The sequence below is a fragment of the Homo sapiens genome, chromosome 3 (assembly GCF_000001405.40).
Source record: "Homo sapiens chromosome 3, GRCh38.p14 Primary Assembly".
In the NCBI taxonomy this organism is placed as follows: domain Eukaryota; kingdom Metazoa; phylum Chordata; class Mammalia; order Primates; family Hominidae; genus Homo; species Homo sapiens.
Genome location: NC_000003.12, coordinates 43,177,964 through 43,201,158, shown reverse-complemented (window position 1 = coordinate 43,201,158; position 23,195 = coordinate 43,177,964). Strand labels below are relative to the sequence as shown.

Below are 23,195 nucleotides of genomic sequence, written 5' to 3'. Positions count from 1 at the left end.
TATTATTGCCTGACAAATTATTCCACAACTCAGTGGTTTAAAATAACAATAATCAGCTGGGCGTGGTGGCTCATGCCTATAATCTCAGCACTTTGGGAGGCCAAGGCGAGCAGATCACTTGAGGCCAGGAGTTCAAAAGCAGCCTGGCCAACATGGTGAAACCCCATCTCTACCAAAAATACAAAAATTAGCCAGGTGTTGTGGTGCGTGCCTGTAATCCCAGCTACTTGGGAGGTTGAGGCACAAGAATCGTTTGAACCCAGGAGGCGGAGGTTGCAGCGAGCCGAGATTGCACCACTGCACTCCAGCCTGGGTGACAACGTGAGACTGTCTCTAAAAAATAAAAATAAATAAATAAATAAAAGAACAGTAATCAATTATTGTCTCTCAAAGTGTCTGTGGGTCAGGAATTCAGGGGTGGTGTGGCTGGGAGGTTGTGGCTATGGTCTCTCATGCGGTTAAAGTCAAATGTTTGCTGAGATTACAGCCAATTGAAGGCTGACTGAAGCAAGAGGATCCATTTCCAAGATAGTTCACTATTAGCACGAGACCTTAATTACTTTCTTCAAGAGCCTCTCCCTGTGGTGGCTTGAGTGTTCTCATGACGTAGTGGCTGGCATCCCCTAGAGCAAACAATCCAAAAGACCAAAGCAGAAGCTGCCGTGCCCTTTATGGCTTACCTTCAGAAGCCACTCACCGTTCTCTTCACCATACTCTATCGGTCACACAGAAAGCCCAAGTTCAATTCAGGAAGAGTATGGCCACCAGGAGGTAAGTGAGGATCCTGCCCGGAGGAGCAGCATTTTTGGAGACTGGACCACAACCAGCATCCTGGAACATGAGAGCTGGGAGAGTTCTTAGAGGTAATCTGTTTCAATATTCTTATTTAGTAGCTGAAAAACCCAAAGATCAGAGAGGTTAAACAACTTGCTCCAGGTCGCTTAGTGAATCATCTGTTCACACTTAATTCAGGATTCAACAGTGCCTGCAGGAAGCCCATTTTATGAGGCCATATGAGAGCTGGACCTCATGGTCAAACAGCATCACTATGCTGATGAAGAAGGAAGGAAGAAGTCAGGCGTGATGCATTAAACAAGAGTTGCCAAATGAATACACTGCAAAGCTGATTATAGAAGTCCATTCATATATTCAAGATATATTTATGGAGTGCTTACTTCATATTTGGCATTGGCTGGGCACTGGTACAGAGGTAGGCAAAAACATGCTCTTGCTCTCTTAGACCTTGTGGTGTAGTGGGGAAAACAGACATGAGTTGCATAGTTCCACAGATAATGGAAGTACTATGACTATGACAAGTGCTTTGAAGAGGAGGCTGAAGACTGTGACAGCCCAGAATATTAGGTTTGTTCCAGCCAGCGAGGCTTCTCCAAGGAAGTGATGATTCAATTATCACTTGACAGCCTGAAAATGAGTTCTAGTATCAATGAGATAATGATTTTTGTTCAAGTTTTGTTTTTTTTAAGATATTATATTCTCCACCTCCAAAAGTTCCATTTGAGTTTTCTTTTATATCTTCTACTTCTCTCAGAATTGAGTTTGTGTTTTCCTTGAGTATCCTTTCATATATTTATGAGATTTATAATAGCTATTTTAATGTCCACTTTTGCTAGTTCCATCATCTCTGCTGTTGCTGGGACTTCTTCTATTTTTCCTCCTGGTTATGAGTCATATACTCCTGCGCTTTTGTATGCCTGGTCATTTTCTACTGGATGCTAGATAATGGGAATTTTACCGTGTTGGGTGTTGGATTTTGTTTTATTCCTCAGAAGAGTGTTGGGCTTTGTTCTGGCACACAGTTACTTGGAAACAGTTTGATCCTTTCAGGACTTGCTTTTAAATTTTGTTATGGTAGTGTTATCAAGCAAAAGAGCTCACTACCTGATGTATGAGAAGCCAACACCATGTCATCAGGTTTTTTCAGAAAAGAAAAGCCTTTCCTGTGAGTCAACCAACAAGGTGACAGAAGTTAAGCTCAAATCTGTCTCCCTGTGCTGGCTTTAAGGCAAAGTTTTTTTATTAGAAAAGGTTTAGGGGGTAGATTTTGGGATTAGTAGGTGATTGGTAGGAGGGAAGGGGAGGTCTGGAAAGTCTTTGGACGTGTGTAGTTTCAAAAAATGTTATTTTATGGATTGTATGTGTAAATATGGGGGAAGTGAGTATGAATCATGTGGTGGAAATTTATACTGTGACATCAGTAACCTTGTTTTGCCCAGGCTCCAGTTGACCACAGTGGTCCCAGCCAATTTCAGCCAGTTTTTTTATCTTACAAAAGCAGAGAGAGTTTCAGCATTTTAACAAGTTGTTTCTTTTCTCATCCATCATCCTACAAACTCAAGAATTTCTGTCAGTCATTAGTTTCTTTAACTCTTTGGGGCACAGTGTCATAGGTCCAGGAAACCTCCAATCTAGGGCTAAGCTAGCCCTATTCTTAAGCCAATACCCTTCTCAAAATGTTATCCATGTATTACATGGCTGGTGTATAAATATATTTTGGTTGGTGAGAATAGCAATTATTCCTGGCCCTGTAAAGACTCCAGGAATTATTCTATCTGCACCTTTTAGGTGGTTCTTTTCCCTGCCTTGAAGAATTTTCTCACACGCACGCACTGATCAGAGATCAAAGACTTGAGGTTTTTACCTGACAATCTCTGGAGTTTTCTCTCTGCATGTAGAACTCCCTCCTCTCTGGTTCCCTGCCCTGCAAATTTGAGCTGCCTTGGCTCTGCAGAACTCTGAACCGTGTCTCCTCAATTCTGTAAGACCACTGGGCTTCATTGTGGTTCTCTCTAGGCAATGAGCTGGTGTCATTGTAGGGCTCACCTTACTTATTTCCCTTCTTTCAGGGATCACAATCTTGCCTTGACTCTTAAACAAGGTTGAAAATTGTTGCTTCCATATGCCTTGTCTAGTTTTCTAGTTGTTTAAGGCTGGGGTAGAAATCTAATCCCTGTTGCTGCATCATGGCATTTTTTTTCTTTAATTTTTTAAAACAGCTTTATTGAGGTTAATTGATATATTTGCATCTATTTAAAGTGTACAACTGACAACTTTTGACATATGTATATACACATGAAGTCATCACCAAATTCAAGAGAATGAACATATCCATCACCTCCGAAGGTTTCCTCATGCCCCTTTGCAGTCTCTCCTCCTGGCTCCCTTGCCCCACCTCCCAAGGCAACCACTGATCTGCTTTTAGCCATAACAGGTCAGTTTGCATTTTCTTAAGTTTTGTATTAATGGAATCATGCAATATTACTCTTTTTTGTCTGGCTTTTTTCACTCAGCATAATTATTCTAATTTATTCATGTTTTTTATATCAGTAGTTTCTCCCTTTTTCATTGCCTAGTAGTATTTCATTGTATGAATGTACCTCACTTTGTTTATTCATTCGGTTTATACCATATTTATTTATTCATTACTGATGGACATTTGAATTTTTCCAGTTTTTGGCTATTATGAATAAAGCTGCTGTATATATTCATGTAAAAGTTTTAGTATGGGCATATGCTTTCTTTTTCTTGGGTAAATACCTAGGAATGGAATGGCTGAACCATATGGTTGGTATATATGTGTAACTTTTAAAGAACCTGCCAAACTTTTCCAATGACATTTGTTTTAAAGCCAGTTTTTATAATATTTATTTGTTTTTAGATCCATGTGGTAGTGTGGCAAATCTTTGAGATATTTGGTCGTCAATGTTCAACTTCTTTTATTCTGAAGCACTAACCATGCTGTGGCAACTGTCACATTGATAAATGCAGTGCCAGCCTCCACCAGCTTGGCAAGCAGACTTTTACCCCAAAACAGAGGAATGACAGGGGGAGAATATGAGGGGCTCTCAGTCTGCCTGACAGCAGTGAGAAAAGAGTCAGAACCCTTGGACCTTTTGCTTTGAGGCATTTAAATGGAAATAAAAGTAGATTTATTCTTTTTGGATAATTCATCCTTTTTTGTGAATTTTTGAAAATACGAAATGTTTGAGAACTTAGATCAGAGGTGTTTTTGAAGTTTTGATCTGTTTCCTTGATGTTGTGACTTTGAATCTCCTGTCTGTGAATAAATTCAGCCTTTGTTTCACCTTTCCCTGCTGAACAATGCCAGTAAGTGTGAAGGAAATATCCAGTAGAGATAAGTAGCTTTGCTTTGATCCATACACAAATCAAGCATGGAGTTCCTTTTAACCAATAGAGGACTGGGATTCACAAATGCCCGCCTGGCTCTGAATCATGCACATATTTTATAGAATGGGCAGCGGCAGCACAATCTATTTCTAACAACCTCCTTCCCTCTCCAAGATGCCCCAGCGCAGATGGACGCTCTTAAAGGAGTTGCTTACGACAGCCACACACACCGGGCAATATTTTCATACTTCCACTAATATCTCACACAGTTTGAGATTTCTGGCACTTGGCAATATTATTATTGAAGTGCAGAGACCCTTGAAGGCTGCATAATGCCAGGGGAAGGGGGAGTAGGGGTGGAATATAGTATGGAGGAGAGTGCTGATTCACTCTTCAGCCTCGCCGTCATTCTAACTCTGCAGAAGAAATGGAAGATCAGGCAGTCTATCAGATGCCTCCATCACCTGATTTTTGTGCTGTGTAGCCCACCCCTGCTGATGGCCTTGGAGGAGATGGCAGCTTCCCTGGAGATGGCAGTCACCTCCTTCAGAAACAGCATAGTCCTGAGACTCTGAGGCCGGCTGGCTTAGCTCACATGGCAGCTTGAGGAAAGCCATAATAGAATGTTAGTGTTCATATTCATAAAGTACCGACGACAGAAATGCAAATGACCCCCTCACCACCTTTGCTTAGCTTGGCCTCCTGGTAAATCTTCAGCTACAGGGTCCCTGATAGTTATTCTGTTTCCCATTGTTGGTTTTAGGCTTTCTTCTTAACATTGAGGTTGCTTCCTGTTTTGTTAAGTAGATTTCAACCTCCCATCTTCTCATCCTCAGAAATAATTTGTTTGCATGGAGCCTTCATGGGACCTGAAGCCATCCTAATGCTGGCCGTGGCTCTGCCTCTGCCTTGAGGCAGAGGCCACTCAACCTAGCCTGTGGCCCAGCCTCCTCACCTGGGAGAAATCCCAGTGGACTCCCAATGCCCTTAGCCAAACTGGTTGATACAGATGAAGAGTTAGACACAGGCAAAGTTGAAAGTGATGTCATAGTTAATGGCAGATTGGAAAAAGAAGAGCCAATCCTTGCCAGGCACTCCAGTTGTCCAGCAGGTGACAGGTGGAGTCCCCAAGATGTCTCCTTTTTGGCTTCCACCTCCTTTGGGATGCTTCTTGTGCTGGGGAAATAAACATTCAATTGATATTGTTGCCTCCAAAGCCTTGGTACTGTGGCTGAATGATTGCGGTTGTCACGGCAGCAAGCAACATTTTCATTATCATCTGTGGCCTTTCCCCCTCCCCTGGGAATTGTTTGACATGATTCTGGTTTCATTCTAGTTCGGTGCCTTGTCTTTTGGGATGGCTGTCTCCTTCTTGCCTCCAACAGGGGAGAATTCCTGTTGGTTTGAAGGGATGGGATAACATAGGGAAAGGTGGGTGGGAGCAGGGTGAGAGGAGAGAGAAGAGACAAAATGTTGTGTGTGTACTGGGGGAGATTGGGATGTGGGGACAGGCTGTCAAGGGAAACAGAGGTGGGGAGGGTCATGCGGAGGGGCGGGCAGGCTCCTCAGGAAACTCCATGTTCATATGTGCAGACAGGTAACTACAAGGATCATGGCCCCTCTCAGCATCTCCCTGCACCAGGCTTGTTTGAGAGGCCTGTGTGGTGCCCTATGCCCTCCCCTAGAACGTCAGCTTCTGGTGAGCTTGGGCTGTTTTTGCTCCTCAGTCTCTGCCTCCCAGGCTACACCATGTGCCTCATAATCATAAGCAATTCAATGCAGAATGAATGCATGCACGGACAGACATTCAAACACTTCTTAAGAAGTTATTATTATTGGATAAGGCTTTGAGGGACTGATTGATGGGAATCAAAATCACTAGAGACAGATGGTCAAATTCACATGCCAGTTTGTGGATTTGTTCTGGGAAATGCAGCTTTGCAAACAGTGGGGGATATGAACTGGCTGGTCGGTGGGTTCTCTTCTTTGAGGGAATTTCCCCCCATTCTGGGGCATTCTGTGAGGCTGTCCCTCAGATGCACTGATTACTGTGGAAGTGAAGCTGGTGTCCTTGGCCAGGGTGGTTGGCCAGCCTCCCTGGTGCCTTCAGCTTCTGGGCACCCCCAGTCTGAGATGCTTCAGGCTCCTGGCCTGCAGGAGGAGGAATGAGACTTTGAGAAAGTGACTTCTTATCTGCTCAGGGCCACCCTTTTGCTCCTCTGCTTAGGATGTGTCTGCGTGTTTGAGAGCATGCATGCCTGTGTGTAAACACACCCAGAGACTTCCGGCTTCCTGCAAAGGACAGGGTACAAGTGACTGAATCAGTGGCTCTTCTACTCAGCAGAGCAAGTGTTCAGACCTCTTGGAGAGAGGAACAGGATGGCAGAACACTTGCTCCTGGGGTGCTGACCGGCACATGGGGACCACCGACCAGCCCCTACGCCTGCCTATGCCTGGGGAGCAAATACCACAGGGCAGCTGCAGGGCAAGTCACTTCCAAAAAGACAAAGTCCACTTCTTGAAACCTCTCTTCCTTCCTCACAACTTGGCTCCTCCTAGGTCTTGCTCAGGTTGCAAAACTGTGAGGGTGAGAGGAAAATTAGACCCTGGAAGAGCAGTCGTCTCCAGGAATGTGTGAGATGTACCCCTAAAGTTCTGGGAAGCTGGTGGTGTCAACACCTTCAGAATAGACAGGAAGGAGGGGAGGGAGGGACACAGGTCTCAAGCCCTTCGGGCCCCACTGAAGGGCAGCACCTCTGAGCTGGCAGACACCCTGACAGTGGCACAGTGGTTCTACTGCCCGGCAGGCAGGCCGGTGGCTGCAAACTGCTTCTGGAACTCAGATTTCTCAGCAGTTCCAGGGGCCACGAGAGGAGGCAGAGGATCCCAGGGCAGCCGCATTTTTGCCCATGTGTCATGCTGGGTTTATCAGCCAAGGGCCCCACAGAAGCAGAGGGTACATTCAAAGTGATGGAGTGAAGAATAATTTTGGAAAGTGACTTATCCAGGGGGTGGGTAGGGTGAAGGAAACCAACCTTGAGAACAGAGTTGGCCAGGGACTAGCAATGGCAGGAAGCAGTAACCACCCTGAAGAGACAAAGGAAGGGCCAGTGCTAAGGAGTCTAAGGAGGCCAGGCACGGTGGCTCACTCTTATAATTTCAGCACTTTGGGAGGCCGAGGCGGGCAGATCACCTGAGGTCAGGAGTTGGAGACCAGCCTGGCCATCATGGTGACACCCCATCTCTATTAAAAATACAAAAATTAGCATGACGTGGTGGCAGGCGCCTATATTCCCAGCTACCCAGGAGGCTGAGGTGGGAGAATCGCTTGAACCGGGGAGGCAGAGATTGCAGTGAGCTGAGATCATGCCACTGCACTCCAGCCTGGGTAACACAGTGAGTTCCTATCTCCCCCACCTCACCCCCTACAAAAAAAGGAGTCTAAGGAGCGTGGCTGCACATCTCACACTGTCAGAACCCCAGCCCTGCAGAGGCCATCAGCCCCAAGACCACCAGGGAACCAGCCAGCTGGGCGCTCAGCAGGTCAAAGAAGCAAACAGCAGAGCTCAGGAGCCAGGGACAAAGAGAGAGTAACCAGCACTTAGAGCATCCAGAGAGCAAAGGTGATGCTAAAAAAAGAAAAAAAAAAGCCAAATCTTGGACCCCCTCTATTCTACCCACAAAACCTGGGTTCAACTCATGACTCTGCCTCTTACTTGTCGGTCTTGACCAAGTTTCTGAACCTCCATGATCCTGCAATCTTCACTTCCATATGGGCATGATGATAACTTCCTTGGCTAATAAAGGAGCCATATAATGACCGTGATGGTGTTAGGTAGGCTGTAAAGGCTATGTTGTAGTTTCCCCCAGTATGGTCCCAGGGCTCCTTTTGGAGTAGGGCTGCTTACAGACCCTTCTTGCAGGCTCCTTTCGGTGGGTGGCGACAAGGAGAGAGTGAAATGAGAATGGTGAGGGGAGGATGCCTCTGGTCTTGCTTCCTGGGGATGCCCCATATGAAAAGCTGGACCTTGTGTTCCTTCTTTTATGGTCAGAGCTCTGTGTCACCTCATGCCCAAGCCCAGCCCTAGGAAGAGGAAAACCCTTACAGTGGAAAATCTTAGCTTATGTCTAGTGTTGGCAGATACCAGTCTAAGAGAACGAACAGGGAGCACACAAGGAAGCTGACCCATGCTGACCAAACTCACAGGAGACTGACAGATAAACCCCAATGCTACCTTAAACAAGTGTACTGAATTCTTCAAGTTCTTTGATGTCTGAAAATCTGCCCCGAGTGCAAAAAACATCAGAGGCTCTCTGTGACTAATCATGTGGCACTGTCTATAAAAGAAAAGAAAAAGGGTCCATTAAGTCTTTTCCCCAAGAAAGGCAGGAAATCAGGGAGGGAACAAGTTTGTTGTTCTTTGCCCTTAGTAACTCTGCTTTTAACTCAAGCAAAAACACTGGATTAGAGGAAAAGGATTTATATCCACAAAATATCCCCTGCTAGTGTCTCCACACCATTCTTCCAGCCTCTCTCCACCTTTGCCTCTCCCTGCTCCTTTCTCTTCTCGCCTTTCTTCTCTCTCTAGACTCTCTTAGAAGCTCGAAAATAGTACCCCACTCTTTATGGCAGAGTAGCTTCAACTTCAAGGCCCCATTTTCTTTCCCAAGCATTTATTAATACTAAGGTCTTTTTTTTTTCTTTTTTCCAAAAAAAGATAGTTCCCTTCCTAAGAGGAACTCCCATACCCCTAAGATAATAGAGTCATTGCATCATCTTTTCTAGACAAACCCTTACAGCAATTTTCCACCTCAGTTTCCCCTAAGCACCCCAAGGGTTTAGCTATTTGACCCACCCCAAATGCTACTCCTTTTAGGAAAGGTTGCTGACCCAACTCCTTGTTTCTTCCTGGCTGTCTTTGGAAACGTGTTTACCATGGAAGCAGGTGGTGTTGCAGTAGGAATGCAGACAGAAGAAAGTTGGCTATGAGATCCTGGACAAAGTATGTAACCCCTATAAGCCTCCTTGAGGAAGGGAATAAAAGGCAATGTACAAAGCTGTTGCAAGGACTGATGCATGTAAATATCCTCTGTCAGCTGCAAAGCTCCATGAAAGTGATGATTGTTTATGCAGGGGGCTGTGCTGGCCAGGATACCAAGCAAGGTGGCATCGATTGCCTGAGTCTTCACGTGTCTTCCTTTCTTGATGACAGCAGCCTTACTGATGCTCTGGTCCACACACTGGTGCTTCCTTCTCATGTGCAATCCAAGGCTATTCCAGTTGGTACATAAAGAACAACTCTGTGAATAGGGGACTAGTGCCCTGCCAGAGATAGAACATCTTAGGCTATGGAAATTTTCAGTTTTGGGAATTTAAAAGTGCCCCTATGCCTACACACAATCCTTGCCTCTGACAACCTTATAGTTTACAGCAGCAGTCCCCAACCTTTTGGCACCGGGGACCGGTCTCATGGAAGACAATTTTTCCATGGACTGGGGGTTTGGTGTGGTGGGGGATGGTTTTGGGATGAAACTGTTCCACCTCAGATCATCAGGCATTAGATTCTCATAAGGAGTGCATAACCTGGATCCCTCGCATGTGCAGTTCACCATAGGGTTCGTGCTCCTATGAGCATCTAATGCCACTGCCGATCTGACAGGAGGCGGAGCTCAGGCAGTAATGCTCACTGGCCCAACACTCACTTCCTGCTGTGTGGCCCGGTTCCTAGCAGGCCTTGGACTGCTCTCAGTCCGTGGCCCAGAGAATGGGGATCTCTGGTTTATAGCAGGCAGCAGTTTAAAAACCATTTCTCTACTTTGGCTTCATTACACACACAATATATTTATTGCATATTAATTAGAAACAATAGATGGATAGAAACAAAGGGAGAATCCATTGTAGCTCCTCACCCAGTGAAAACCACTGTGACATTTTAATGTTAATACAGCCATATTTTTTCTGTGTATTTGGTGTGAACTCCTTTATGACATTTTTGTGCATAGTAGTCATGCTTTTTTATTTTTCCACGTCAAATCAAAACTATCTCAGTCATCCGCTTTTTAGATTCATTCACTCACTCAACAGGTATTTATTGAGTGCTTATTTTGCGTCAGGCACTCTTCCAGCTGCAGAGAATACAGCAAGGAGAGTGAATAAAAAGTCCTTTCCTTGCCCAGCTGACATTTTATCTTAGTTGAGGGAGACAGACGATAAACAAACGAGTAAGAAATATAGCAAAACAGCTGGGGATAAGGGCAATAAAAATATCACAGCAGGGGAAGGGCTTTGGGAGTGTCAAGCAGGCTTCAGTTTAAGATGAGTGCTCAGCAAAAGCCTGAAAGCAATGGCCTGAAGGAGAGAAAGGATTGAACCATCTGGAGACGGAGGTAAGAGGGTTCCAGCAGAAGGGACAGCACATGCAAAAGCCCTGGCATGTCCTTGGAAGCACAGGGAGATCAGGGTGGCTGGAAGAGAGCGTGTCAGTGGTAGGAGGGAGTTGGAGATGAGATAGGAAGGTCACCAAGTCTGACTGTGTAGGGCCTTGAGGGGTGGTAGAAGGATTTGACTTTTCTCTGATCATGATAGGGAAGCATTGGAGGATTAGAGCAGAGCAGTAACATGACTTAACCCTAAGAATAAACTACAGGCAGGAAAAGGTAGGAACAGGGGGACCCGTTATGAGGCTATTGCAATAATCCAGGTGAGGGACAATGATTACTTGGACCAGGAGGACATTACAGGTGCGAGATGAGATGGAGTCTTGATATATTTGAAGGTAGAACTGACGGGATTTCCTAGTAGAAATATGAGACAGGGAAGAAAGGTCAGAGGTGACTCCAAGATTATCCTGAGGCAACCAGGGAATGGAGCTGCCATTTTCTGAGATGGGAAAGACTGTGGGAGTGTGGGGCTTGAGTAGACAGATTAGAAGTTGGTCTTAAAATTTTAAGTTTGAGATGATACATAGCCAAATTGGATGTCAAGAGGCAGTCTGGGGTTTGGGAAGAGGCTGAGGCTAGAGATACAAATCTGAGTTTTGAAACCAAAATATTGATATTTAAAGCCACAAGATTATTAAGGACGTGCATGTAGACAGAGAAAAGTTTCAAGGAGTGGGTCCTAGATTAAAAGGAAGAATGACCTCTTCTTCTTGGGGCAACCCCAGATCCCTGGGTGGCCCAGAAACTGACCCTGAGTTTGTACAAAAATGGTACAATTTCCATTCTTAAGTGGGAAGAGCTCTGACCCTTAATATTTGACTACAGCAAGCTTCTCTTGCCTTTAGTGACCACCTCACATCACAGATGAAAGATGAACATTTGTGGTCAGATAGATATGGCTGAGGAGTATTCCTTGATGACCTCACTCCTTGTACCTCCTGCTCAAGTTGCCCAAATTCCTCCAGTGCATGATGGTCAAGGGCACCCAAAGCTAGGATCTCAAGGTCACTATTCATAGTCCCATGCACGACCAACCCCACACAACTCCACCTGCTCTTGCAGTGCACAGTCAGAATCCTTTGGATGTCCAGTTCTCAGTTTCCTTCCCCTCACCATGGATAAGCCCCCAGGGATCAGTCAGCTTAGCTTTCAAACCTTGAAACAAAATGAGTTGATTCCACTCCCTTTCTTGCAGTATAGTGTTACCTCCAAGAGAAGACCCTGAATGTTAAGGTGTTTGAAGGGGGCCCAGTGAATGACATCCCCTTTCTCACTTTCTCACTTGAACCAATTAAGAAATAATTGAACCAATTCTGAACCCGTTAAGAAATAAAACAAAGGAGTAATAAGGCAGATGAAAGCCAGAATGCCACTTATACAGATAAAGCAGATGTTGGAGAAAGGCTCATCGTTGGCTTCATGTCTTTCCAAGTGCTGAACCCCTGAATTAGGCATCTCACCCACCCAAACATGGCAGAGTTGGACCAAGGATCCGGTCCCTATGAGATGTACAACATGGGTGAGTAGACCCAAGAAGTTCTGGGCTGTGCTGTCCAGCTTCTCCTCCCAAACTCACAATCAGAATAACCTCTCCCTCCAGGGCAGGGGGACTGAAGAGGGTGGAGAGAGTCCAGAAGTGCCATATCAGGGGTGCTGTCTCCACTTGGATGGAAACATCTTATGGGGATAAGCTATCCTCACTTTCAAACCTTCATCAACATAACTTCTAAAAGACAAAAGACTCCTTTAGCATCCTTGGAAGTGGTGATTCACTCTTCCAGTGGTGAACAAGGGGAACCTGGCACAGCTCTTACAAAGACAATGAAAAACAAACCACTATGTCATGTGTAGATATCAATATGCAAAGAGATGTGCACGCACATGTGGGCACACACAGACACACAGATGGATTATACAGTATGCTTATAGCATATTTTATAACTGCTCCTTTCACCTAAAACATCAAGACTCTCCTTCTAATACATATACTTTTAAAATTGCCTTAATGGACAAATGTCATTCCATTGTGTGGTATACCCATCTTTTAATAACCTGTCTCTTATTGTTGGTTATCTGGTTTGCTTCCAATCCTTTTCTACTATTAAAAAAAATACCTAAACCTTCTTTTAGATAAATTGGTTCATATTTTTTACAATTTCCTTAAGCTAAATTCCTGGAATTGGATTTGCTGGTTTAAAGGGCAGGCAGGTTTTCAACACTGGTTACATTTTGAAAATTATGTAACAGATGTCATTGACGTAGTCCAATGTGCAAAGGACAAAGAGAATAGACAAATAAGTTAGTTTACCTTGCAGGCTATGAGCTCCCATAGTGGACCTCTGTGTCTCCCACAAACCCTGGGACTATGCTGGGTACCTTAGAACTTCATCTCATTGTGTGTTAGCTGATGGACTGAAGAGAACTAATGGGAAGGGATGGTTATATATGGGCTTTCTGTATATGACAAAGGCAAGTGCATTTTCAAGAGTGAGTAGAGGCCTCTGCCAGCTGGGTAGAGGCAAGCATGGTGGTTCTTTTGCCAGAATTCCATGCTGTTTCTCTGTGCCTGAGTGATTTGGTTTGGTACTCTAATACCAAGCCAGACAAGGATACTACAGGAAAAGAAAATTACAGGCCAATATCTCTGCTGAACATAGAAACAAAAATCCTCAACAAAATACTAGCAAACCAAATTCAACAGCATGTTAAAGGATCATACACCACAATCAAGTGGTATTTATCTCTGGAATGTAAGGATGGGTCAACATACGCAAATTAATAAATGACATACCGCATTGACAGAATGAAGAATTAAAATAATGAGATTTTCTGCATCTCAATAAATGCAGAAAAAGCATTTGACAAAATTTAACATCTTTTCATGATTAAAACTCTCAAAAATTATAGATAGAAAAAATGTACCTCAACATAGCAAATGCCCTATGTGACAAGTCCACAGCTAATATTATACTCAATGGAAAAAGTTGAAAGCTTTTCCTCTAAGATTGGAAACAAGATAAGGATGTCCACTCTCACCACTTCTATTTAGTAAAGTACTTACTGGAAGTCCTAGCCAGAGCAATAGGAAAGAAAAAGAAATAAAAGGCATCCAAATTGAAAGGAAGAAGCAAAATTGTCTGTGTTTGCAGGTGATACCATCTATTAAAAAACCCTGAAGACTTCACAAAAAACTATTAGAACTAATAAATTCAGTAAAGTTGCAGGATACAAAATTAACATTTCAAAATCAATAATCTATCCTTTCTTTTCCTTTCTTTCCTTTCTTTCCTTCCTTCCTTTCTTCCTTTCTCCTTTCTTAAAATCATATAAATGGCCAACAAGTATATGGAAAAAATGCTTAACATTATTAATCATCAGAGAAATGCAAATTAAAACCACAATGAGGCATCACCTCATACCTGTTAGGATGGCTGTTATCAAAAAGATAAAATAAAAGTGTTGGTAAGGATGTAGAGAAAAGGGAATTCTTGTACACAGCCCCATGAAAAAACTTGGCTGCTTACACCCCTGGTCACAGGACGATTTGTGTAGTAGTGGGAATAGAAGCTGCTGAAGGGTTTTCAGCTTCTCACGGATAAAACTAAGGGAGTGTCTTGCTGTGACCAGGAAGATGGCCCTCCAGAACAGGGAGGGGGTTCCCACCTTCCCTTGGCTTCCCAGAGCATGGTGGAGAGGTTAGGACTCAAACAGATGTCTGTTCAAATCCTGATGCTGAGGCTATCTCACTGTAGGAATGTGAACGAGTTACTTAACCTCTCTATGCCTCAGTTTTCTTGGCTGAAAGTGAAGGTAGCAACACATAGCACTTAGGGTTGTGTAAGGAACTAATTGGATAATGTGTATATAAATTACTTGGTTTATGGTAGGTGCCCAATTGATGATAGCTGTTAGTCTGCATCAGTACCACTAAGTGTAGGCAATCAGGAAGCCACACTAGAATGCCAAAGAAATGGATAAAAAGACCATTGAACATCTCTCAGATATAACATCATTATGACCCCAGGGCATAGCACATAGTTAGCACTTGGTAAATATTTGATAAACTCAATGAATGAATGAATCAATCAGTATGTCCTAGGCCATCTCAGACATGCAAGTAGCAATGAGGGTGAAGAGCTCATCTCTGGAGGAGCTAAGAAAATCCCTGTGATGATTATACTATTAATAAAGCAGCAAATAATTAAGAACAGTTACTCCATGCCTGATGCTAAACTTCAAAACACCCTTATAAGGTGGTGCTTCACTTCCATTTTACCTAGGAGGAAACCGAAGCACAGAGAGGTCCCATAACCTGCCCTATCTCATGCAGTTACAGAGAGTGGAGCAGCGTCTATGTCTGGATCTTGGGGCAGGAAGGTGGTGGAGCAGTGCCTCCTCCCGCTTGGTTAAAGTGACAATGGGCAAGGAAATTGAACTCAATTTAGTGCTGAAGGCAGATGGAGGCATTTCCTGAATGAGGACAGGATACGGGGTGGTCACTCGGTTGAGGCCAGTTACGTGCATGGTGCCACCACAGTCGGCTCCTACGTGGCCTGATCAGGTTGCTGAAGCTTCACATGTTCTTCTGTTTGGAGTTGGGAACTGCACTGCCATTTATTAGATGATCCCAAAATGCCCTGATGTATTGTACACTTCAAGGTCTGCTTGGTCATGTTGCACTGTGTTTTCACCATTTTCATCATCCAGCTGAGTAATTTTACGTAGAATAACAAACAACACACAGCTATTTAAAAGATCTTTATCACTGACATTCCTACTGCAAACGAATGGCATTGCTATTATAAATCTGAAGCTCTCTAGCCCACAAACCTGTTTATCCTTTTTGTTTGTTTGTTTAAGACTTAGAATACAACTTTGTTAATGTGAAGTTTCTTAGGGCATTTTTATTACCCCTAACAAAGGACAAGCAAGAAAAATATCAGGACTAACAATGTCCTCTTAACATGGCCAAAGGTGATCGAGTGGGGAAATACTGGGGGGCCTGGCAGGGGTCACCAAGCCCTGTGCCACATGAGTGAGGTCACCTGCTCCCCAATTTGCTTGGACTATGACTGTGAGTGCCAAACGTGAGTCTTGGCCAGCTCCTGGGGTGTGACCAGACTTGTCAGCTATGACACCTGCCAGCCTGTCCTGACCTTCCTCAGGGATGACACTGGCTGGGTGAAGGGTGACCCAAGGAAGCTCGTCCATTGTTGGTACCTGACCCATGAGATGTGAAGGTCATTGGAGCTGAGCCAATCACATCAGCTCCCACTAGGATGTGGCCCAGGCACCCAGGAGAGAGAGGATTGGTCCACTGGGAGCAGCGGAACCTGCAAGGCCCCAAAATTGAGAGGGGCTGTGGCTCCCTGGGAAATTAGGATCATAAACTTTTGACAGTGCCTGACTGTAGGTCTGGTTCTCTGACTTTCCCTATTTCACAGAGAGGACTCATCATGCCTGGGTTGCACAGTGTCCCCTCCTAGAGCATTCTGGGTTGAAGGCCTTTGCTCCCCGCTTCCCTGTTCCATCCCTGGTCCTGGCTGAGGCAGGTGAGAGGAGTCCAGAATTGGGCAAGTTGGGTGGCTGAGTTCCATCTCCTTGGTGCTCTGCGTGAGTGTCCAAAGGACCTTTCCGGGCCATAAAGGGATCACTTGCCGCTCATCATTGCCAATGAACAGTTCTTCCTCCCTAAGTCCCACATCTCTGCTAAGGAGCCTGAGTATCTGGGGCCTTTCATCAGCCAAAAATAAGCTACCATGTATGAGGTATGGCTGTGCTGCCCTTCAACTTTTAGCAAGATGGTAGGGGATTGTGTGAAGAGCCCACGGCTGGCCCTTTCATGATTTATGTTGCCTCTCTGAGCCTCATCTTGAGGAGCACTTTGAGAAGGCCTGACCCATGCCCAACAAAAAGCTGATCTGCCAAAAGTACAGCTAGTGGGAATGACTGGTGACCTTGCCAATCCTGCAGGCCCCTCTGTGACTTCACTCTTAAGCTAGGCCACCGTAGAAACCATTCCTGGTCTCCATCTGGGTCTAAGTGGTGGTGGTGAGGTCCTGCCAGTGCCTGGCCCTCCCTAGAAGGAGCTCTTCGGGGGTTCTTAAGCTGTTTGTGGGATAAGCTCAGATAGAAACAAAAAGCAAGCTTACAAAGGACCAAAAGACTCCTATTGTCTTTGGTCCTCACTTTCTCTATCTGAAGACAATGAGGGAGTTGGACAAGCCAATCCCAGAGCCTTTCATTGCCCTAATCAAGATCAAATATAGAAATGTGAGCCAGAGGGAAATACAGGAGCCCTATCAAAGCTAGGCATGATAGGGCCTAGCTTGGTGTCACAGAGAGGAGGGCTCAAGCTAGGGGCTAGGAGGAAGACCCCAATCCCTATGGCCTGTTTGAGTGTATTATGTCCCTACCACATCAGCCAGTGTTTACAGGTTCTCTCCTGGGTTCTGATCTAATCTGATCTACTTCTGCACTGGGCTGCTCCGTCTCCCTGACCCCGTCTCCCCATCATCTGGGAAATTTTTCCACAGTTCCTGTTTCTCTCCTGAGCTTCCCTATCTCTGAGTCCTTAAGGGAAGGACAAAGTAGGACCCTCAGGTTGGGATTTCTGACTGCAAGCAACAGAAATTAATCAGATCTCAGCTGACTCGAGCAAAAGAGAAATGCATGAAAGGACACACAAGTAGCCCCAGAGAAAGGCATGTGTCAGGGTCAATTGATTTTTATCCTTGTGTGGCTCCACCAAGATTGAAATTCCTGGGAAGAAAGGATCTGCTTGGCCTTATGGGTTGGAGTGGGACTGGGTTAACATTTCTACCTATGTTGAAAGCATTTTCTAATGTCAGATGAACTGCTGTTATAGAAAACAAGGAGAACATCTGTTGAACAGACAAAAACAACTGATGCTTATCATTGGCTCATGCTCGTTAGAACATTCTGGAAACACTTTAGGATAGAGGGAGAAAGGTCTTGCTGTTTCTGCTCTTTGAAACTGCAAATAAAGAAAGTTCTGCTTTTGGAATCTGACTTAGCCTTAAGATGGATATGTTTAACTTGTCAGCATGTTGACAATGATAATGCCTTTGTTAATGAATGCCTTTGTTAACGAATGTTCCACATTCATTGACTTATTTTTTTCACAACCCCCTGTAAAAAAGGGAAGCAAGGCATTATTATTCCCATTTGACAAGTAAGGAAAACCAGGGCCTAGACATGAGTGGCAAGAACATAAAGGACATGCCTATGGCTACTCCTCTCCCCTCATTCTCAAACCCTCAATGAGACCAGAGGCCCAGCCCAGTGACCTTCTGGCTCCTTCATCTTCTGGCTCCTTGATCTCCATAATGAAGATGATGATGTCAAAGGACCTCCCTGGCCAGTATCTTTAAAAGGGAAATGACGATCAGGCGGGGTGACTTATGCCTATAATCCCAGCACTTTGGGAGGATGAGGAAGGTGGATCACCTGAGGTCAGGAGTTTGAGACCAGCCTGGCCAATATATGAAACCCTGTCTCTACTAAAAATACAAAAATTAGCCAGGCGTGGTGGCACACGCCTGTAATCCCAGCTACTCCAGAGGCTGAGGCAGTAGAATTGCTTGAACCCAGGAGGCAGAGCTTGCAGTGAGCCGAGATCACACCACTGCCCTCCAGCCTGGGTGACAGAGTGAGACTCTGTCTCAAAAAAAAAAAAAGGGTAACCTTGGACTCTGAGAAATTCTTCCATGTTTTTCCTAATATGCATCTCATGAGCTGCCGCATTTCCTTCTCTCGCACAATTTCAGGGATTGCAAGCAGGTTTTGCACTCCAGTTGCCAGTGACTGAAGTAATATGCTGGGAATCTTAGGTCAAGTGTGTGTGCCTGTCTGTGGCTGTTAATGTTCCAGTGAGCCCCCGGAGCCAGCCCAGTGCCTTCCCAGGACAGGAGATGACCTTCTCTCCGGGGATGACCATGAAGCTCCTGGAGCATTGGGTGCAGGAACAGGGCAGGTATCAAGTACAGAGGCCCAGATTGTCGCTTTGCAAGCAGGCTGTGTTAGGCTCTAGCTGTCTCTCACTCATTCCCACAGTCTATATATTCCCTTTGTTTCCCCAATTTTCTTCTTTCTCCTTGCCTTTCTCCTCTTCCTTAACTTATCTGTCTCTCTGTCTCCTGTGCTTTCATGTCCTCTTTCCTCCTAGAAGCCCAGCCCCCTTGGTTTCCTCTTGTCCCTCTCAGGGACAAGAGTCTAAAAAGACAATATGTCCAGGCACAGTGGCTCAAGCCTGTAATCCTAGCAGTGTGGGAGGCAGAGGCAGGTGGATCGCCTGAGGTAAGGAGTTCGAGACCAGCCTGACCAATATGGTGAAACCCCATCTCTACTAAAAATACAAAAGTTAGCTGGGTGTGGTGATGTGCGCCTGTAGTCCCAGCCACTTGGGAGGCTGAGACAGGAGAATTGCTTGAACCTGGAAGGCAGAGGTTGCAGTGAGCAGAGATTGTGACACTGCACTCCAGGCTGGGTGACAAGGCGAGACTCCTTCTCAAAAAAAAAAAAAAAAATTAAAATTAAAAAATAAATAAATGAAAATAAAAAGAATATAACCCATAGGTTATTGTCCCTGGGTTTGTCCCTGATAGAAGCCCAGCCTTGGCCAGTGCCCTATCACATATTATCTATTATACGAGCAGCGCCATTGCTATCGCGAAGGGATCTGTCATAGAAAATGCAGAGACTTTGAACCCCAGACTCAAGGTTGAATCTTCCTCCGCCGTGTGGCTTGGAGCAACTTGTTTCACTTTAATGCGCTTCAGTGACCTCTCTATAAAATGCATAATCATCATCATTAGTTCCCGTAGAGAGTGCATGAGATGACAGGTGCAAGGACCAGCCCAGGGAGGTGCCTCGGTCACAGGGAGTGACTTTCCTAGGAGTCTCCTCACACGTGTCACTCTGCCTGGGGCCAGCTTTCCTGGGGGACAGGTGAAAAGCCAGGCCAAAAACACAGGAATGTTTCTGCTGGAATGTGTCCCTTCCTGCCCTCAAGATCCCATCTCCTCTTCTAGCTTTGTTCTCACTTTTCAGTTCCCTTAACGTGACATCTCTGGTCACTCCACACTGGGCCACCAACGGGAACTGTGAATGATAGAAAAGACCCATCCCGGGGAGTCATGAGTGAGCATGGTCCAGCTTCCCAGATCCTGCCCCCAAGGCTGCGGTTTAATCACCAAACCATCTGAGCAGGTGTTACACGTAATTCGGGCCAGGTGTGGTTTAGGGAGGAGGTGTGGAATGACTCAGATAATAGATTTTGAAGTCAGGGTTATGTGAGTACAAACCCTGACACGTGTCTCCAAACCCTGTGACCTTAGGCAAAGTTACTGATCCCCTCCGAGACTTGGTGCCCTAACTGTAAACTTTGGTGATGACCCCTTTCTTAAGGGATTATAGGAAGCATTAGAGGTCATCTGTGGAAACCCTCTGACACACAGAAGGTGTGCAATCAATCCTCCCTCCCCCATGTTCTCCACAGCCAGAACAAGGAAGAATCGCACATGCTTGCATGGTGCTCAGTGTGCCCCGAACTGTTCAAGCGCCTTGCCTGTATTGTCTCATTTTATCCCATCACAACCCCATAAGGTCACTTATGTTATTATCACACTCATCTTACAGATAAGAAAACAGAGGGATGGAGAAGTTAAGTAACTTATTCAAGGTCACCTAGCATGCCAGAGCTGGGAGTGACAGTGGCTGTAATTGGTGGGCATTTGAGCTCGACTTGCATGGGAAGCTTTGGTGGAGGGTTGGGGGATCCTACGCCCTAAAGGGCACACAGGGCTATAGAACTCCCACGACCCCCTTGCAGATGCTGCCCATGGGGTATGCAGAAGAGTCACATGAGCCCAACTATCTAAGGACTTTGTCTGCAGGGGCTGCTGGATTTGTGGCCACCAACTTCTGCTGGACCTGTCTTTTGCTGCATTTGCTCGGCCACAGTTTCTCAGGACGGTCCCCTTTTCTCTGGAGCTCTTTCCAGCAAGTTTATTAAAAAGAGGGACCAGGTGAGCAGAAACAGATTGGATGTCAGAGACCAGGAGACTTCTGGCCACAGAGCCTGAACCATTTACTCTGTTACCTGAGATTATTTTTTCAAATGTCAAAGGCCTAATTTAGGATGACCCAGATGTTCACCAGTGCTCCAATTAATAAAGAAAAATGTATTTAAAAAGCCAACTGCAGAAGCAAACACATTTTGCTTTCGCAATTCTGTTGGGCTGCACCCTGGCCTTGACCTTAAAATAGCTCAGTTTACGTGCTGACAGCATATACATACACAGTCAGGATTTCCTGTGTCTCCACCTCACCATTTCCTCTCTGCCTCGGAGCTGGTCCCCTTCATTCCTCTTCCTCTCCCTCCCCACAACTTGTTTAGGTCCGTGAATAAATGTATAGGAATGTTCTGAGAAGCAGGAACATTTAGACTCCAGCCAGACAGGAGTTCAAATTCCACCTCAACCATTTCCCAGCTATGCAAGCATGAGCAGTTCACCTCTCTGAGTGTCAGATTTTCACTGGAAATTGTGAGAATACATGAAAATGATTTATCCCAGAGCCTAGCACAAGGTAAAAGAGCAATAATTGGAAGAGACAGGGAAAAGCCTTTCACCAAAAGCTAAGTGTGAGTTGGAGGCAGGGTGCGGCCTAGGGGGCCCCTGGCTGGCTTTTGGAGGACCTGCATGCCATTTGTCTCCCTCCACGGCTTCTGCCCCAGACATGGATTCATCCTGCTCTCATTTCTGCCTCTGAGATGGGTGGGCCCCATCTCTCCACAGAGCCATCTGCGACTCCCTCCTACCGAAGTAAAATGGACTTTTCCTACGTGTCTGCCCAGGACTCAGCCAGACTGATGAACTGAGCTTGGGGAACATTTGAACAGATTGAGGTGATGTTTTTACCAAGGCCCAGGAGCGATGCTTCAGGCAGCTCCAGCTGTCCGCTCGGCCTGTATTTCCCAAATATTTTGGACCAGGAGTGCCAAAAGCAAGCCCCTGGTCCAAGACACTTGGGAAATATTGGCCATGAACTATTCTGGCCATTTAGGAAATACTGGCTGTAAACTATGCTTAACACCAAAGGAGGACCAATGGTAGCCACTTGGGCAACAGTAGACAGAACCATAGAGGAAGATCTTTGCCTTGAACTTGAAGTCACACTGCTCAGGTAACTGTTCTGCCAATCTGTGCATCTGTGACCTCTACCTTCCCATTGCAATCAGGAGCCAAGGTCCAAAGATCACGGTTAGACCCCACTCTGCTTGTGACTCATGCATGACACAGGGCAGGCCATTACCCTACCGTTCTGGATGAAGGCAATAATCGTGTTTGACCTCTCCCTGCCTCGTAATGCTGACTCGGAGGATTAATGAGGAAATGAGAGCTAAGCTTTGTGAATGCCAGCCTTGTTCTCACGCTGGCTCCTCTGATTATTCCACAAAGCCAATGAGAAATAGCAAAGGTCAAAATTCTCTGTGAGGTTGAATATTCATGTTGCAGGAGGCGCCTCTCCAGGTATGGTTCTGCGCTCATGATCTGTGTGTCTCTGGTGCCAGGCCCCAGGGGGCACACTTACAAAAGGTGTACGGGGTGACGGTGGTGGTGGCATGGGTGTGGCATCTCCAGGTGCAGGCCACATGCCTGGGGTGTTTCACATGGCAAGTCAGCCACAGAAATGGGTCTTGCTGGGCCTTTTGGAAGCTTCCAGTGGTGCACCTCACAGACTGAACAGCCCCTCTCAAGATGAGGGTTACCATAAGCAATGCCATCATCTGTCTCACTGAGATGCTGCTACTCAACATTGGCTCCTCTTGTTTTCCACAGTCAACCTTCATATGTAATTTAATTTTGCTCTCTCTTCTGGTCAGTTGACAAACCCCGCAACACCATCTCTAGGATGCCATGGCTGAGGCCAGAGCTCTAGGAGGGCAGGAGCAGGGAAGCAGATGGGACAGTCGGCTGTGGCCCTGCTTCATGCAGCCAGCTTGGAGGAGCTGCTTCCCTCGGTGCTGTGGATTTTTTGAGTTAAAATTGAGAGCTTCCGGCCGGGCGTGGTGGTTACAGCTGTAATCCCAGCACTTTGGGAGGCCGAGGTGGGTGGATCACGAGGTTAGGATTTCAAGACTAGCCTGTCCAAGATGGTGAAACCCCGTCTCTACTAAAAATACAAAAAATTAGCCAGGTGCGGTGGCAGGCACCTGTAATCCCAGCTACTCGGGAGGCTAAGGCAGGAGAATCACTTGAACTTGGAGGGCAGAGGCTGCAGTGAGCTAAGATCGCACCACTGCACTCCAGCCTGGGCGACAGAGTGAAAAAAAAAGAGAGAGAGCGAGAAAGAAGAAAGAAAGAAAGAAAGAAAGAAAGAAAGAAAGAAAGAAAGAAAGAAAGAAAGAAAGAAAGAAAGAAAGAAAAAGAAAATTGGGAGCTTCCTTGGTAAAAGGTCTGGACAGCATCAAACTGGTTACCTCCAAATCATCAGACTTAGGGGTAGAACAGATTATTTCCAATTTAAGTTCGTTTGATAAGTAGTCACTCACATGGTTCAAAAATCAAAATAATATAAATTAG

At 45.5% G+C, this 23,195-nt stretch overlaps 5 annotated features.

The window, feature by feature from the left end:
• Positions 19,300 to 19,349: an enhancer, noted in NCBI's record as "active region_19752". NCBI's record gives its function as "activates an Ori minimal core promoter by ATAC-STARR-seq in GM12878 lymphoblastoid cells {active_cell/tissue: GM12878}" and the evidence as "EXISTENCE:reporter gene assay evidence [ECO:0000049][PMID:35858748]".
• Positions 20,982 to 21,041: an enhancer, noted in NCBI's record as "active region_19751". NCBI's record gives its function as "activates an Ori minimal core promoter by ATAC-STARR-seq in GM12878 lymphoblastoid cells {active_cell/tissue: GM12878}" and the evidence as "EXISTENCE:reporter gene assay evidence [ECO:0000049][PMID:35858748]".
• Positions 21,748 to 22,042: an enhancer, noted in NCBI's record as "tiled region #3209; HepG2 Activating DNase matched - State 8:EnhW". NCBI's record gives its function as "activates a minimal TATA promoter and a strong SV40 promoter by Sharpr-MPRA in HepG2 cells {active_cell/tissue: HepG2}" and the evidence as "EXISTENCE:reporter gene assay evidence [ECO:0000049][PMID:27701403]".
• Positions 21,748 to 22,102: a biological region, named in NCBI's record as "Sharpr-MPRA regulatory regions 3209 and 6245".
• Positions 21,808 to 22,102: an enhancer, noted in NCBI's record as "tiled region #6245; HepG2 Activating DNase unmatched - State 8:EnhW, and K562 Activating non-DNase unmatched - State 21:Repr". NCBI's record gives its function as "activates a minimal TATA promoter and a strong SV40 promoter by Sharpr-MPRA in HepG2 cells, with weaker activation in K562 cells {active_cell/tissue: HepG2 | K562}" and the evidence as "EXISTENCE:reporter gene assay evidence [ECO:0000049][PMID:27701403]".